Consider the following 16,314-nt stretch of genomic DNA (forward strand, 5'->3'; position numbering starts at 1 on the left):
AGTAGAGATGGAGCCTCACTATTTTGCCCAGGCCGGTCTTGAACTCCTAGGTTCAAGTGATTGTCCCAACTTAGCCTCCCAAAGCACTTAGATTACAGATGTGAGTCCCTGCACCTGGCCAGAAACTTGTAATTGTAAAAAAGATTGCTAATAGAGGTGAGCGCATTAAAAATTCTGAATTTTAAAAGCGACATTGCAAAAGCATTTCAAGAGTTAACAACAACTTAATGAAAATGCTCACTGGTAAACCTCTGACTAACTTTAACCAAGTGTGTAAAAATATTGGTAATTAAAAGACTAAACTATTTCTGAGAATGGTTATCAGTCAGTTGGAAATCCTTGCTTGTGGTTCTAGGCTTACATTACCAATGGTGAATGGCAGCTTTCACTTTCATTTTTCTACACTTTTATCTTAAAAATATACTTTCACAGAATGAGAGAGCCTCAGACATGCCCAGAATTTGGCCTGATAACCAGAAACATATCATGATATTTGAAGTTTTGCTCATCTGCAAAATTCCAGGCATTCTGTGTCCCCTGGTTAGTCCATAATTTGTTACCTCTGTTTTTTAGAAACAGAGTCACAGAGATAGTATTAGTTATTGAGTCGTCTTCTTCTTCTTCTTCTTCTTCTTCTTCTTCTTCTTCTTCTTCTTCTTCTTCTTCCTCTTCCTCTCCTTCTCCTTCTCCTTCTCCTTCTCCTTCTTCTTCTGACAGAGTCTTGCTCTGTTCGGCATGATCTTGGCTCACTGCAACCTCCGCCTCCTGGGTTCAAGCAATTCTCCTGTTTCAGCCTCCCAAGTAGCTGGGATTACAGGCGTGTGCCCAGCTAATTTCTTTGTGTTTTTAGTAGAGACGGGGTTTCACCATGTTGGCCAGCCAAGTCTCGAACTCCCAGCCTCAGGTGATCCAACCACCTCGGCCTCCCAAAATGCTGGGATTACAGGCATGAGCCACTGCGCCTGGCCTCTTGATATTTCAAATATATCTTGAAAGTTGCCTTCCAAAGAAAATTGTAAATTTATTAGTTGATAAGTACTCATCACAAAGGTATTGTCTTTTGAGGTTATCCTTCTGCTAAATAGCTCCTCAATTTTTCAGAATCTATGATTGCATTGATTGCAAAACAGTTTAGTAGGATAAAGGGCTGTGTCTAATTACTATCTATCTGTTTCTATGTACATATAATAAAGATTATATAGTACTATATGTAGTATATGCTACATATATAATCTTTAAAAATAGTCTCTTTCCAATCACATAGCCTGAAATCATTTTTTATCTAGATACGTATTTTTTGAGGTGAAGTCTTGTTCTGTTGCCCAGGCTGGAGTGCAGTGGCACGATCTTGGCTCACTGCAACCTCCACCTCCTGGGCTCAAGCAATTGCCTGCCTCAGCCTCTTGAGTAGCTGGGATTACAGGTGCCTGCCACCATGTGCGGCTAATTTTTGTATTTTTAGTAGAGATGGGGTTTCACTATGTTGGCCAGGCTGGTCTCCAACTCTTGTCCTCAGGTGATCACCCTTTTCTGCCTCCCAAAGCGCTGGGATTACAGGGATGAGCCGCCACACCCAGCCCATATAGAAAATTTTAATGAGAACTGTGCTACCTCAACTAAATCAGCAGTTATGGAGTCTATAGCACTTTTCTTTCAGTTTTAAGTTCCAGTGATATCTTCATATGCCAAGAAGAAAATAAAATATTCTGAATCACGAAGTGTTCTGATTAGTTCATCTCTGAGATCCTTTTAATTATTTCCAAAGCTTTACATCTGAGGAAATAGTTCACTAAATACTTTCAAGAATTTCCCAAGATCTTCTAACTCTTGCATTACATCTTCAAACTTTTCTCCATTTCTTCCAAAGAGCTCACGAAGCTGACCACATAATTAGTTACTCTCACTTGCAGACTTTATACAGTTGTGAACTATGCAATGGATGATGGGCATACCAGTCTTTCCTTCTGACTTTGATAGTTTGTAGAAATTTTCTTATTACCCTTGATTGCAGGTAACTCACTAATTCAGCCCAGTATTTCCATGTTTAGACCAAACTCCTCAAATTCCTGTCAGGCAGTAGTTAGATTCTGCTGGCCCATATATGCAGACTAATTTGGTAAACATTATTTGGCTGCAGTTTGAGGAAAGCAGAATTTGGTTTGGAGTGCATTTGGAAAAACTTGATCTCTCCACAAGTGAGTAAAATTAATTTTCAGATATTTAAAGTGATTTGATTAAGGATTTCTGGTTTCTTCTGGCAAAATTGAGATTAGAATCCCAATCTTCTTATTCAGTACAGTTCAATAAATATTTGAGTGCTATTTTTCTACTTAAGAGAGAAAGACATTTTCTCTGATTTTAAGTTTTGAGACAGGTATGTATGTAAACAATCATAATACTTAGATGTATGTATAAAGCTTGAAGAGAGTACTAAAACTGGAGTAAGTCCATTTCAAGGGGTGGGGAGAGCGGTAAGGAAATGCTTCATGGAAGACGGCTTGGAGGAATGGGTAAGAATTTGTTAAGCAGATAAAGCATGGGTGGGAAATGTGGAGAAAGGGGGTGAATTTTGAGACAGAAGGAACTGTGCAAAGGCAGAGAGATGGAAAAAGAGAGACATATATCTACAAGAATATGGAGTTAAGATCGGGTGAGTCTTGAACCTTGCTGGTATTCTGAAGGGTAAGAAACAGTAGAAAAAGAGAGAGGAAAGATAATGGAAATAAAAAGATGGTCAGTTGAAGAAAGTTCTTATGTAGGCAGAGGAAATGAGATCCAAATCTCACATGGAAGAATTAGCCTTGGATAGGAGAAAGGATAGCCTTTCCACTGAAACATGTGAGAGGGAAGAAGTGAGATTGTACTAATGCAATTAGGTTTGTTAGCTTCATGGGGAAAATTGATAGTTATATAGGAATAATATATATATATATTCTTTTACATATATATTATATATTCTTATATATAACATATATTCTTTTATATATATAATATATATTATATATTCTTTTATATATATATTATATATATATATATATATTTTTTTTTTTTTTCCTGGAGAATTACAAGAAGTTTGAGAAGTCCACCGAGGTCCAGGAAGGGTCAGGGGACAGGATGGGAACTAGGGCTGGTATGAAGTGATACTGAAGAATCTGGATTTTGAAGGGCTTTATTTGTCATGCTAAGGATTTTTAACTTGAAGGTGATGGAGGATCATTGAAAGATTTAAGCAATTTAATGTCTAATCAGTTTCTGCCATACTCTAACTGTGGCTTAAGGTTGAGTTTGGGGTGGTGTGGTGACAGTGGTGGAAGCAGAAGCATAGAAATCAGAAAATTGTTATGTGTAAATTAGGTGAGAGCCGCTTCTCACCCGAATCTACCATTATTCTTCTAAATACAACTGCGTAACACCTGTCCCTTCAACCTCACTCCTCTTCTGCTCTGGGCTTTGATTTGTTGCCCTTCTGCCATTATGGTAGTGACTATTCTGATTTTTAAAATCTCTTCTAGTCACTCTCCGCCCAGCATTTTCCAAAGCTCATATGTTTATAGATGGCCCTACCTCATGTTTCATAAGGAAGTCAAGGTCATTCAGTGAACAAGCCCTCAATTTGCCCCCTGAAGCTAACATACCTAAACTGCAGTCTTCTTCCTTCTCACCTGTTTCAGTGGAAAGGCCATCCCTTCTCCTATCCAAGGCTAAATTTCCATCTGAGCTTTAAATCTCATTTCCTCTGGCTCCATAGGTATTTTTCTCCATTGCGCATCCCTTTATTTTCTTTATCTTTCCACTCCTTTTTTCTACTGACTCTTTTCCTTCAGCATCCCAACAGGGTTGAAGCCCTCACCCTTTTATTTCATCTGGGGTTTCTCAACTGCATTATTAACATTTTCGGCCAAAGAATTCTTTGTTGTGGAGAGGCCAGCATCCCTAGCCTCTATCCTAGTGGATAGATGCCAGTAGCCACGCCCCTCCTCCCTGAGTTGTAACAAACAGCAATGTCTCCGGATGTTGCTAAATCATCCCAGCTTCAGAACCACTGATTTAACCCAATATATCCAAAATATTATTTCAACATATAATAAATATTAAAAAGTACTGAGATTTTTCAGTCTTTTTTTGTATTGTACCTTTGAAATTCGATGTGTATTTTTCACTTAAAGCACTTCTCAATTATTTTTATTTATTTATTTTTTTAGGGAGACGGAAAAGGAAAAGGGGAGGGGAGAGGGAGAAGAGGAGGGAGTCTAGCCACATTTTAAGTGCTCAGCAGCCACATATGGCTGGTGTCTACCTAATTGAAGAACACAGGTCAAAAGCTTCAGAAAAAAGGTTAGAGCTGGAAATACAGGTTTGAGAAGTCATGAGATAGTAACAGTTAAAATCAAGGGAGAAGATAAGATAGTCCGGGCAAAATTCTATGTTTAAGAGTGAGAAAATAGGAGGATTGAGGAAAATCCTAGTCGAATGCTCTTTTAGTTTTCCCACACAATCTGCTATCCTTGATCATTATTGTAATTTTAAAATCATTTGTGTGTGTGTGTGTGTGTGTGTTTTGTTTGTTTGTTTGTTTGTTTGTTTTGAGACGGAATCTCACTCTGTCGCCCAGGCTGGAGTGCAGTGGCACAATCTCGCACTCACTACAACCTCTGCCTCCCGGGTCCTAGCAATTCTCCTGTGTCAGCCTCCCGAGTAGCTGGGGTTACAGGCGCCCGCCACTACGCCCGGCTAATTTTTTGTATTTTTAGTAGAGACAGCGTTTCACCGTGTTAGCCAGGATGGTCTCCATCTCCTGACCTCATGATCCGCCCGCCTTGGCCTCCAAAAGTGCTGGGATTACAGGCGTGAGCCACCGCGCCCAGCCTTTTTTTTTTTTTTCTTGGAGACGGAGTCTCCCTGTCACCCGGGCTGGGGTGCAATGGCTTGATCATGGCTCACTGCAACCTCGGCCACCCTGGCTCAAGCGATTCTCCTGCCTCAGCCTGCCGAGTAGCTGGGATTACAGGCGTCCGCCACCACGCCCAGCTAGTTTTTGTATTTTTAGTGGAGAAGGAGTTTCACCATGTTGGCCAGGCTGGTCTTGAACTCCTGATCTCAGGTAGTCCACCCGCCTAGGCCTCCCAAAGTGCTGGGATTACAGGCGTGAGCCACCGTGCCCGGCCAAAATCATTTGCTTACTGAATGATACGGAAAATATGAGTGAACAAAAAAAGTATTGAAAAAGATGAGTTGATGGCAAAGGGAGGGAATTAATGTTTAGTGAACACTTAATTGGCAAGTAATGTTCAGAGCATTATATAAATTGTCTCATTTAATCTAACAAGAACCTTTTGAGGTAAATACGTTATCCCAATTTATAGAGGAGGAAACTAAGATTTATAAGGATCTCATCAATCAGAGAACTCTTAAGTGGCACCACTGGACTTTGAAAGGAAGTCTGCCTGATGGACTCTGAAGCTCATCCTCTCTCTATCCTCCTAATGCATATAATGACGCATTTGTTATCTACTGACTTTTATAAAATAAACAAGGAGGCTTATGCGATTGTACAGCCCGAGTTCGCAGGAGATATGTGACCACTTTTGATCTGATTCCGGAAGCAAATTCACTTTAACAGTGAGGTGCCGTGATCTTTATGTCATTAGCGCATATGATATGGGTATCATTTGTTGTGAAAGACACTAACCCATGATGTTTTTGTTTACGTATATCTGTAAATGTATCAATTCTGTAGTTGGTTAATTTTTAGTTACGAAAAAATGAACCAAGATGTAGTCAAGATTTGGCTTAAATGTTGAACGCATAATCACCAAAGAAAATTAAATAATGAGCTTTGTGACACCTTTCAGTTCGCCAACAGACTGATAAAACCAGTACAAAGGGGGAGGGCCGGGACCGAGGGGGCGGGACGGTGAGAAACGGGAATCGAGCAAGCGCAGAAACAAACAGATGTTAATGGAGGCGTGAAGGCTACTGCGCTCTCACTTTCCGAACTGTCGTAAAGAGCCCTAGTGTCGTGCTCTCCTCGGTAGGGGAGGAATTGGTTAGGCGGCGGCGGCGGCGAAGCGGCGGCGGCGGCTGTAGGGGAGCAGCGGCAGTGGCGGCGACGGCGAGGAGGTGTTCGGTTTGCGCAGCGTAGAAACGCCCGCAGCTTCAGAGAAGGAGTTCTTGTGGGACCAAATTAGGCATTCTGAACCCACGCCGGCTTAGCTGGGCCGAGTCCAGGCGCTGCCGCACGTACAGTTTTGGTGGCGGTGACAGACACTGTTCTTGACTCTAGGGGCCTATTAGGCCGACGTCTGAGGCGCAGATCGCTGGCTCTCGACGCATTACTCTTTACGCCTTACATTTCTGTCTTCCTTCCTGGGTCAGTGATTCCCGGACCCTGGAAGAGAAGAGGGTGGCTAATGATTAAGGTGAGGGGAACGGGGGGGGAGGGGATCCATTGGAGGCCGCGCGTGCGCGCAACGGGGGAGGGGCCGGCCTGGAGGGGAGAAAGAGGAAGGGCTGCGGCCGCGGAAGGCTGGGGTCGGTGACCGGCCGGTTATCTCTGGCTCGGTGGTGACTTAGGGTCTGGGTCTCCGCAGACGATTTGTGTTTGGGCAAGGCATTCGTCTACCGACACACCCACAGCCTACAGTGAGGGAGTGTGGGTGAGGGGATTTCTCTCCCACTTCCGACTCTCCCTAGAGTCTCAGGATGGGGGCTGAGGACCGAGGCGTGGGAGTGCGATTTGACAATGGAGTGATGAAGGTAACCCGGACCCGGGGAGTTGGAGGGCGCTAAGTCAGCCCTGACGGCTAGGGAGTCGCCTGCTGCTGCTGTGATCAAGGAAACGTAGTCCGCGGAACAGCTGAAATACAGACGCGTCAGATTTTGTATGGAGTTGGCTTGTTGGTCATTTAAAAAGAAACTGATGTTTTTACTATTGTCCTTCGATAATTTATCAGAGTCAGTGTCAGTGCTATAGTGGGAATATCTGTTCAGTGCAGCAGAAATAGATTTGTTACAACAGTTCTTAAATAGGTTATAGTAGATAGATCTTTACAGATGGGTATTTCTCAACCTAAGTTTTGATTATTCAAAAAATACCAGAAAGTATGAGGTATTCATTTAATTTGTTCGTGTGTGTGTTGTGGGGTGACTCCATTGTGTTGTTGTAAGCTTTCCTGTTTCTTGATTTATGTGCGGCATTAATTTAGAATTCTCTTGAATGGTAAGATGCCAGCTGACATAGACTACGTTTTGTAGGATTTCCTGTAGCTTTTGAATGTGACTTAATCTAAACTTTATTTCATTTGGTATTTTATCTATAATTTTCTTGTTTTAGGGGCCTCTTGAACTAAAAAGAACAAACTGGGAAAAACATAAGCTAAGGTTCCATTTCCTTTCCCATTTTTGTTGTGTGTGTGTGTGATGGTTGTAAATGCTTGAATGTGATTTTGAGATTACCATACACAACTTCTGTAACGCTGGACTTAGCTTTATTACAGTAAAGATACATCTTTTGATAGTTTATTACTATATGTATTTTTGTAAAAATCTTCATGTCAGTATAAGCCACATTGTTTCACCCTAGTCTGGTTATATTTGTGAGGTGAAACAGATGGATAAGAAGGAAGCCCTTTTACTTTTACAATCATTTTAAATTGATTGTTTCTAAAGCCTTGATTTATCTTATTTTGGACACTTTCTTGCCATTTAACCTTGGACAAATGACTTTATCATCTCTCTCCTGCTCATTTGTTTGTGACCAAAGATTCACAACAGTATTCTAAGAATTGGTGAGGGTGTTTATAAATCTAAATAATATTTTAGGAAAAAGTAGGAAGAATGAGTCTCCTTGTTTATCACGGGTGCTATATCATGTGCAGATCCTTCTGTCACTTCTTAACTTTTGTTTGGTGTCTGTTGGCCACTTGTTTGCTAGTTATTTCACCAGACATAGAACTGGTTTTTAAAGAAAGGTATAAACAAAGTGACTTCATTTTGGTGAAAAATGCATTACAGCAGAGGTTACATCTTAACGAATTTCACTTTGGTACTCCATTTCTACAGATTATTGAGAGAGAGCTGTTGTGATGTTTAAGAGAAAAGCACCTTGCTTGTATAAAGCTAAGGTGCAGTCATTTAGCAGATACTCCTAGTTATTTTACTTTAAAATAAAAAATATAAAGGAAACTAATTGAATCAAACCATTTAGATTTTTAGATGTTTCCTTCTTTTTTTTTTTGTTATAGTTTAAAGAGAGGTTTCTGTATCATGCTTTACTTGAGGCATACTTATGTGCCCTTCTTTTGACTTTTTCTCCCCTTTTGGGCCAAGACTTCAGTAGGAAATAAAAGAGACCATCTGAAAAATGATAGCAGTTAAAATATGTTATAACTTGACATTACCGTTCTATGGGTAACGTTATCTTATGAAATAATATAGGGCTAAGGACAGGAGATCTAGATTTTAGATCTATCTTTGCTTGCTATACATTAGATCTCCGAGTTTATTGTTAACCCTCCTTGGGCTTCAGGTCTCTCTGTTTAAATGAGAATTGTAGAATAGATAACTTTCGTTTTCTTTAGGTCCCAAATTTAATGGTTTGTATATCTAGTTAGGTTTTTGGTATTCATTGTTGTGTTTGTCGTAATTGAATCCCCAGAAAGAAATGCTGTACAAAAAGCATCAATTCCCTCATGAAATGTGTATGTGTAAAACCTGTCATGAAGCTGTGGGCCAGGCGTGGTGGCTCACCCCTGTAATCCCAGCACTTTGGGAGGCCAAGGCGGGCGAATCACTTGAGGTGACCAGTCTGGCCAAAATGGTGAAACCCCATCTCTACTGAAAATACAAAAAATTAGCCGAGCTTAGTGGTGTGCGCCTGTAGTCCCAGCTGCCTGGGAAGCTGAGGCAGGAGAATGGCTTGAACCTCGGAGGCGGAGGTTGCAGTAAGCGGAGATCGTGCCACTCACTGCACTCCAGCTTGGGCGACAGAGCGAGACTGTTTCTCAAAACAAACAAACAAAAAAACTATGATTGTTGTTCCACATATTATTGCTATTGTTGTCCCATTGTAGATATTAATTACTGAAGCTTTAATAGCTTTCAGATGGTACTAAAAATGAAATTTTTTATTACTCCTGGTAACATTTTAAAAATCATCTGGAATAATTTGTTTTTCTTTCAGAAACCTGTAATTATTGTTCAGTAAAAGTCCACAATTACATTTGAATGTCTTATACCTCTGTTTGTTTCTTTCCTACATCCTACAGATTCTTGGTAACAGCTGGCCCAGGTTTCTACAGGTACTCAATTTATATCATTACATGAGGAGTGAATTACAAATATTTAAAGACAAATACTTAGCTGAGGCTGGGTGCGCTTGCTCATACCTGTAATCCCAGCACTTTGGGAAGCCGAGGCGGGTAGATCATGAGGTCGGGTTCGAGAGCAGCCAGGCCAACATGGTGAAACCCCGTCTGTACTAAAAAAAAAATACAAAAATTAGCTGGGCATGGTGGTGGCATGCGCCTGTAATCCTGGCTGCTCAAGAGGGTAAGGCAGAATTGCTTGAACCCGGGAGGTGGAGGTTCCACTGAGCTGAGATCTGCACTCCAGCCTGGGTGACAGAGCAAGACTCCATCTTGAAAAAAAACAAAACAACAAAAAAGCCTCCAAATACTTAGCTGAGCTTACATTTTAAAGAGCGGTACTGCATTATTACGTAGATACATTTATTGAATGTCTCATGTTCTAGGCACAGTCACTGGTCTTCAGTGAAGGCACTCTGCCTTCATGGAGCTGACATTCTGTTCTGTGTGTGGGAACATAATAAACAGAATGGTTTCAGGTAGTGGTAAGTGCCATGAGGAAAATAGGACCATGTGATACGGCATGGATGGAAGTGGTTTTACTGTAGATTGAGTGGTTAGGGAGGGCCTTTTTAGAGGTGGTAATTTGACCTGTGACTTCAATGACTAGAAAAAATCAGCCATAGTGACGATTTGGAGGAAGACTGCTACAGATAGCAGGGGCGGCAAATGCATTAGGTGAGGTTTGATTCTAGAGAATCTACAAATGTAAATTAATTATTTGGTTTGTCTGTTAAGCTTTTCATATTTGCTGTCAGATGATGTAGACAGATTAAAATTATTTTATGTGTAGTAACCAAATACAATATGTTGGTGTTGTTTAAACCCTGACTCAAACCAATTGTAGAAAGTCATTTTTGAAACATTGGGGGAAATCTGAATATGGATGGGTATTAGATGATATCAAGGAGTTATTGTAACTTTGTTAGGGATGATAATGGCATTATGTTTATGTAAGAAAATGACCACTTTTTATTAGTGATAGAGACTGAGGAATGAGGGAGAAAACTTGCAAATGTCTGGTATTTTATTTTATTTTATTTTATTTTGAGATGGAGTTTCCCTCGTTGCCCAAGCTGGAGTGCAGTGGTGTGATCTCAGCTCACTGAAGCCTCCACCTCCCGGGTTCAAGCAATTCTTCTGCGTCAGTCTCCTGAGTAGCTGGGATTACAGGAGCGCGCCACCACGCCTGCTAACTTTTTGTATTTTTAGTAGAAACGGTTTTTCACCATGTTAGCCAGGCTGGTCTTGAACTCGTGATCTCAGGTGATTCGCCCGTCTCGGCCTCCCAAAGTGCTGGGATTACAGACGTGGGCCACCGTGCCCAGCAATGTCTGTTATTTTAAACAGATACCAGATAAAAACCAAAAAATGTGGTGGAGGGAGATAAGATAGATGAAGCAGGTCTGGCACAATCTGGATAATTGTTGGGTTGGGGTGATGGGTACATGGGTATTAATAATATTGTTCTCTGCTTTTGTGAGGTTTGAAAATTGTTCATATTTTAAAATATATTTTTTTGGCTGGGCCCAGTGGCTCATGCCTGTAATCATAGCACCTTGGGAGGCTGAGGAAGGTGGATTGCTTGAGCCCAGGAGTTTGAGACTAGGCTGGGCAATGTGACGAAATTCTGGCTGTACCAAAAAAATACAAAAATTAGACAGGCATAATGGCACATGCCTGTAGTCCCAGCTACTCGGGAGGCTGAGGTGAGAGGATGGCTTGAGCCCGGGAGGCAGAGGTTGCAATGAGCCGAGATTGTGCCACTGCATTCCAGCCTCGGTGACAAAGCCAGACCCTATCTCAAAATAAATAAGTAAATGAAATAAAATAAAATAATATATTTTTGAAAACGTTCATTCATGTTTAGGCTGGACATGGTGGTGCACACCTGTAGTAATCCTAGCACTTTGGGAGGCTGAGGCAGGCGGATCACCTGAGGTCAGGAGTTTGAGACCAGCCTGCCCAACGTGGCAAAACCCTGTCTCTACTAAAAAATACAAAAAGTAGCCGGGCATGGTGGCGGGTGCTTGTAATCCCAGCTACTTGGGAGGTTGAGGCAGGAGAATGACTTGAACCCAGGAGGCAGAGGTTGCAGTGAGCCAAGATTGCGCCACTGCCCTTCAGTCTGGGTGACAGAGCAAGATTCCATCTCAAAAAAAAGAAAATGTTCAATTGTAAATAAAAATGTTTTAAAATAATTAGTAAAAGTGGCCAGGTATAGTGGCTCACACCTGTAATCCCAGAACTTTGGGAGGCCAAGGCGAGTGGATCACCTGACATCAGGAGTTCGAGACCAGCCTGGCCAACATGGTGAAACCTTGTCTCTACTAAAAACACAAAAATAAAAAAAATATAACTGTAAATACAAAAATTAGCTGGGCGTGGTGGTGGGTGCCTGTAATCCCAGCTGCTTGGGAGGCTGAGACAGGAGAATTGCTTGAACCCAGGAGGTGGAGGTTGCAGTGAGCTGAGATTGCACCACTGCACTCCAACCTGAGTAACAGAGTGAGACTCCATCTCAAAATTTGTGAAAGTACCATATTTAAGTGTCTGTTCCCTTCCACGCTTCTTTTCATTTTGATAAAAATACAGTATTTCGTTTCTATTTGTAAATGTTCAGTATTTATTCAACAAACAGGAGTGTTGTATTTCAGGCACTGTGCCAGTGCTTGAGTTAAAACAAAGGGCAGGCTCTTAACACCTGCCTGAAGGGGCTTATGGCTTGCTGGTGGAAAGGAGAGTTTGGCAGTGTGGATTGTGTTAACATGGAGAAGATTTTTGTGTTTTCCTGAGGGCATACACGATTAGCATCTTAGTTTAGTTTGTATGTGATTGGATTCTTAAAAAATATTTTTCCTTTTCTACCAAATAGAAAATTTAAGAAATTCTATATATGGCTAGGTGTCAAGTCTGAATCAATGTTGTAGTCATTTCCCTTATTCATATGTACTATAGGGCACTCGAATAAATTACTTATTTTACTATCTTTTGACATCCCAATTTGTTGTTACTTAAATTTTTTTTTTTTTTTTTTTTTTTTAATGGAGTCTCACTCTGTGGCCCAGGCTGGAGTGCAGTGGCCCCATCTTGGCTCATTGTCACCTCCACCTTCCAGCTTCAAGTGATTTTCCTGACTCACCCTCCCAGGTAGCTGGGATTAGAGGTGCACGCTACCACGCTCAGGTTATTTTTTATATTTTTGGTAGAGATGGGGTTTCGCTATGTTGGCCAGGCTGGTCTCGAACTCCTGACCTCAAGTAATCCTCCCGCCTTGGCCTCCCAAAGTGCTGGGATTACAGGCGTGAGCCACCACGCCTGGCTACTTACATTTTTATTTTGACATAATTTCAAACTTACCGAAAGATTTAAAAAATAGTACTGAGAACTCTTGAATACTCATTATTCAGATTCACCAATTTTTAATGTTGTCACTCTTGCTTTCTTATTTTCTCTCTCTTTTTTTTTTTTTTTTTTTTTTGAGGTGGAGTCTCGCTGTGTTGCCCAGGCTGGAGTGCAGCAGTGTGATCTCGGCTCACTGTAACCTCCATCTCCCAGGTTCAAGCGATTCTCCTACCTCAGCCTCCTGAGTAGCTGAGATTATAGGTGCCCGCCACCACGTCCAGCTAATTTTTGTATTTTAGTTAGAGACGAGGTTTCACCCTCTTGGCCAGGCTGGTCTCAAACCCATGACTTTAAGTGATCAGCCTACTTCAGCCTCCCAAAGTGCTGGGGTGAGCCTTTGCGCCTGGCCCCTTATTCTCTCTTGAATCATTTAAAAGTAAATTGCTTACATTATGCCCATTACATTGCATTATGCCCATTTGTTTCTAAATATTCACTGTGTATTGTATTCTTTTGCGTTATCACTGCACCAGTTACAAAATTCAGAAAATTAAACTTTGATAATATTAATCTACAGCTCATTTTCCAGTTTTGTCGAATTGTCCTGATAATAGCATTTATCCCTTTACAGCATTTTCCTCATAGGACCCAGTTCAGGATCACAAAATGCATTTAGTTGTCATATCTCTTTAGTCTCCTGTAATGTGGAACAGTGCACCTAATAAGCAATCTGTGGGGATAACTTTGAGATAGTGCAGCTACTCTGCTCCTCATCAGATCATCCTGTTCCTCATCACTCCCCACATCCCCCAAGGCCCATGTAGCATCCATTGATGTTTCTTGCCTATGCTGATCTTTACTGATCTTTACTCTAATGGTTGGAAAGTGTTTATTTTGTAACTCATCCATTTTCTTCACTAATGGACATTCTTTTATAAGGAAGAGACATTCTTTTATCTGATTAATACAGAATTGTGTGTTTCCTGTTTTATTCAGTGGGTTAAATAACCCATTATAACCTTTATTTTGATGTTCAAATTGTCCCAGATTTGTCCATTAGGAGCCTTTCCAAGTGGGCTCCTGTGTCTTTTTAACATAACCTCTTGTTTTTTTTTTTTGACGGAGTCTCACTCTTGTCTCCCAGGCTGGAGTGCAGTGGCGCGATCTTGGCTCACTGCAACCTCTGCCTCCCGGGTTCAAGCAATTCTCTGCCTCAGCCTCCCAAATAGCTGGGATTATAGGCGCCTGCCACCATGCCCGGCTAATTTTTGTATTTTTAGTAGAGACGGGGTTTCACCATCTTGGACAGGCTGGTCTTGAACTCCTGACCTTGTGACCTCGTGATCCACCTGCCTCAGCCTCCCAAAGTGCTGGGATTACAGGCATGAGATGCCGTGCCCCGGCCTTTTTTTTTTTTTTTTTTTTTTTTAAGTATTTCCTGTCTTTCTGGCACAGCAAGATGTTGCAAGCACATCTTATTTCTTTCCTTTGTCAGTCTTGGAATGAGCCGTTTTCCATGGAACCCTGGTTCCTTTTAGTGAGCAATCCAATTTGCTGTTGTGTTATTTATATACAGGAATAATCTTTTTTTCATGCATCAGGACATCGCTAGGAAACTAAATTTAAATTAGATTTTTGATAGTAGGTTTATATTTCTTTGAAGATTTTATGAAGTAATCACGTAAGACTCAGCAACTTATTGTCATAAAGCAATTTTTTTCTTCTTTTCTTTTTCAAATACATAATGAGTTATGTTCTTAATTGTGATCATATGAAATGAGAAAAAATTGTGTGTGTATGTTTAGCCACTTAACTGTTTATTAAAAACCTGAAGTTTATACTTTTAACTATTTTTAACTAAGTCATCAAACATTCTAATCTGAAGAAAACTGTTGCTTTTTAAGAAACTTTAAAATGAGTTCAAAAAATTGGGCTGGGTGCGGTAGCTCATACCTATAATCCCAGCACTTCGGGAGGCCGAGGCATATGGATCCCTTGAGGCCAGGAGTTCAAGATCATCCTGGCCAACCTGATGAAACCCTGTCTCAACTGAAAAATGCAAAAAAAAAAAAGTAGCCAAGTGGGGTGGTGCATGCCTGTAATCCCAGCTACTTGGGTGGCTGGAGCAGGAGAATCGCTTGAACCTGGGAGGTGGAGGTTGCAGTGAGCCGAGATCATGCCACTGTACTCCAGCCTGGGCAGTAGAGCAAGACTCCATCTCAAGAAAAAAAAAATTAAAAAATTATGAAACAGAATTTTTGTATGTGATTGAAAACTCATCAGTACTTTCTTTTTTTTTTTTTTTTTTTTTTTTTTTTTACCCAGGCAGTTACTGTTACATCTTGGTATATTTCATAGCCAGTTTCTCACCTGTGTATGGATATTTGCTTTATTTACTTATTCAATCTAACTTAATGTGTGTTTTTTCAAAGTAATATTTTGAATATTTTAAATTTTCAACCAATTAATATCTGTACACGGTTTTAAAAGTCAGTTTCAAAAGACTTACAATGAAAAACAGTGGTTTCCTATGCAACTCTCCTAATCTCCTAGTTGTACTGCTTAAACAGAAACATTTTAGCTCTCAAAAATTATTTCTGTAGTCTATACCTTTATATTTATAAGTAGTATGCTTATATTTGTTTGTATTTACTTGTGTACTTATATTTCTACTAATATGCTTAATTTTTACTTAGTTTTCATGTCAGTTTAAGTGTCTTTTTTTAAGTTAATTTTTTCAGAGAAAAGTAATATATACAAAGTGTACCAAATTTATAAGGTACAAAGAATGTACAGGGAAAAAAAACAAGGCTCCTTGCCATTCTTATCTTCCTATGACCCAAGTCTTTTCTCTGAAGATGTATCTCTTTCCTCCTGTATTTTATATGTGCATCCAGAGTAGTGGTTCTCAGAGTGTGGTCTGTTGACTCTTGAGGTAGCTCTTCCAAGTGTTCAGGAGGTCTACCAGGTTGAAACTATTTCAGAATATTACCAAGTTCTCATTTTCTATGTAACTGATGTGAACACCAGTTGACATTTGCACTGATGGTGCAAAAAACAGTGGTGCATTAAACTAATGGCCCTGTAGCACAAATCAAGACAGTGGCCAAACTGCATTAGTAATCACTATGTTCTTCATGACTACACATTTGCAGTTAAAAAAAAAAAAAAAATCAGGGCTGGGTATGGTGTCTCACGCCTGTAATCCCAGCACTTTGGGAGGCTGAGGTGGCCACATCACGAGGTCAAGAGATCGAGACCATCCTGGGCAACATGGGGAAACTCCATCTCTACTAAAAATACAAAATTAGCAGGGCGTGGTGGCATATGTCTGTAATCCCAGCTACTCGGGAGGCTGAGGCAGGAGGATGGCTTGAACCCGGGAGGCAGAGGTTGCAGTGAGCCAAGATTGCGCCACTGCACTCCAGCCTGGCGACAGTGTGAGACTCCATCTCAAAAAAAAAAACAAAAACCCAAAAAATTTGTAAATTTATTTTGATTCTTGAGCACATGTGTGTATGTGTTTTTTTTGTTTTTCTTTTTGTTTGTTTTTTGTTTTTTTTGAAGCTGAGTCTCACTCCGTTGCCCAGGCTGGAGTGCAGTG

General features: G+C 40.7%; 1 protein-coding gene across 30 annotated transcripts in view, besides 2 other annotated features; it reads left to right on the forward strand.

Annotated features, from left to right (window-relative positions):
• The first annotated feature begins 6,013 nt into the window (after positions 1-6,013).
• RNF111 (ring finger protein 111) overlaps positions 6,014-16,314 on the forward strand; it is a 109,757-nt gene continuing 99,456 nt past the window's right edge. For 20 of the 30 annotated variants that reach the window (XM_047432701.1, XM_047432706.1, XM_047432707.1 and 17 more), the window contains exon 1: positions 6,014-6,419. The gene's annotated coding sequence lies outside the window, so the exon portion shown is untranslated. Of the gene's footprint in view, positions 6,420-6,488; positions 6,757-9,266; positions 9,300-16,314 lie in introns of those variants that run through there. The other 10 variants (XM_047432702.1, XM_047432708.1, XM_047432713.1 and 7 more) reach the window with 3 other exon arrangements.
• Positions 6,733-6,897: a silencer, noted in NCBI's record as "fragment chr15:59280581-59280745 (GRCh37/hg19 assembly coordinates)". NCBI's record gives its function as "represses an EF-1alpha promoter that drives an FKBP-Casp9 reporter gene in an ReSE screen in phorbol 12-myristate 13-acetate-treated (for megakaryocytic differentiation) K562 erythroleukemia cells {active_cell/tissue: K562(+PMA)}" and the evidence as "EXISTENCE:reporter gene assay evidence [ECO:0000049][PMID:32094911]".
• Positions 9,461-9,960: an enhancer, noted in NCBI's record as "H3K4me1 hESC enhancer chr15:59283309-59283808 (GRCh37/hg19 assembly coordinates)". NCBI's record gives its function as "activates a minimal SCP1, AML or CMV promoter by ChIP-STARR-seq in naive H9 embryonic stem cells {active_cell/tissue: H9 hESC(naive)}" and the evidence as "EXISTENCE:reporter gene assay evidence [ECO:0000049][PMID:30033119]".

This window comes from Homo sapiens, chromosome 15 (genome assembly GCF_000001405.40).
Source record: "Homo sapiens chromosome 15, GRCh38.p14 Primary Assembly".
In the NCBI taxonomy this organism is placed as follows: Eukaryota; Metazoa; Chordata; class Mammalia; order Primates; family Hominidae; genus Homo; species Homo sapiens.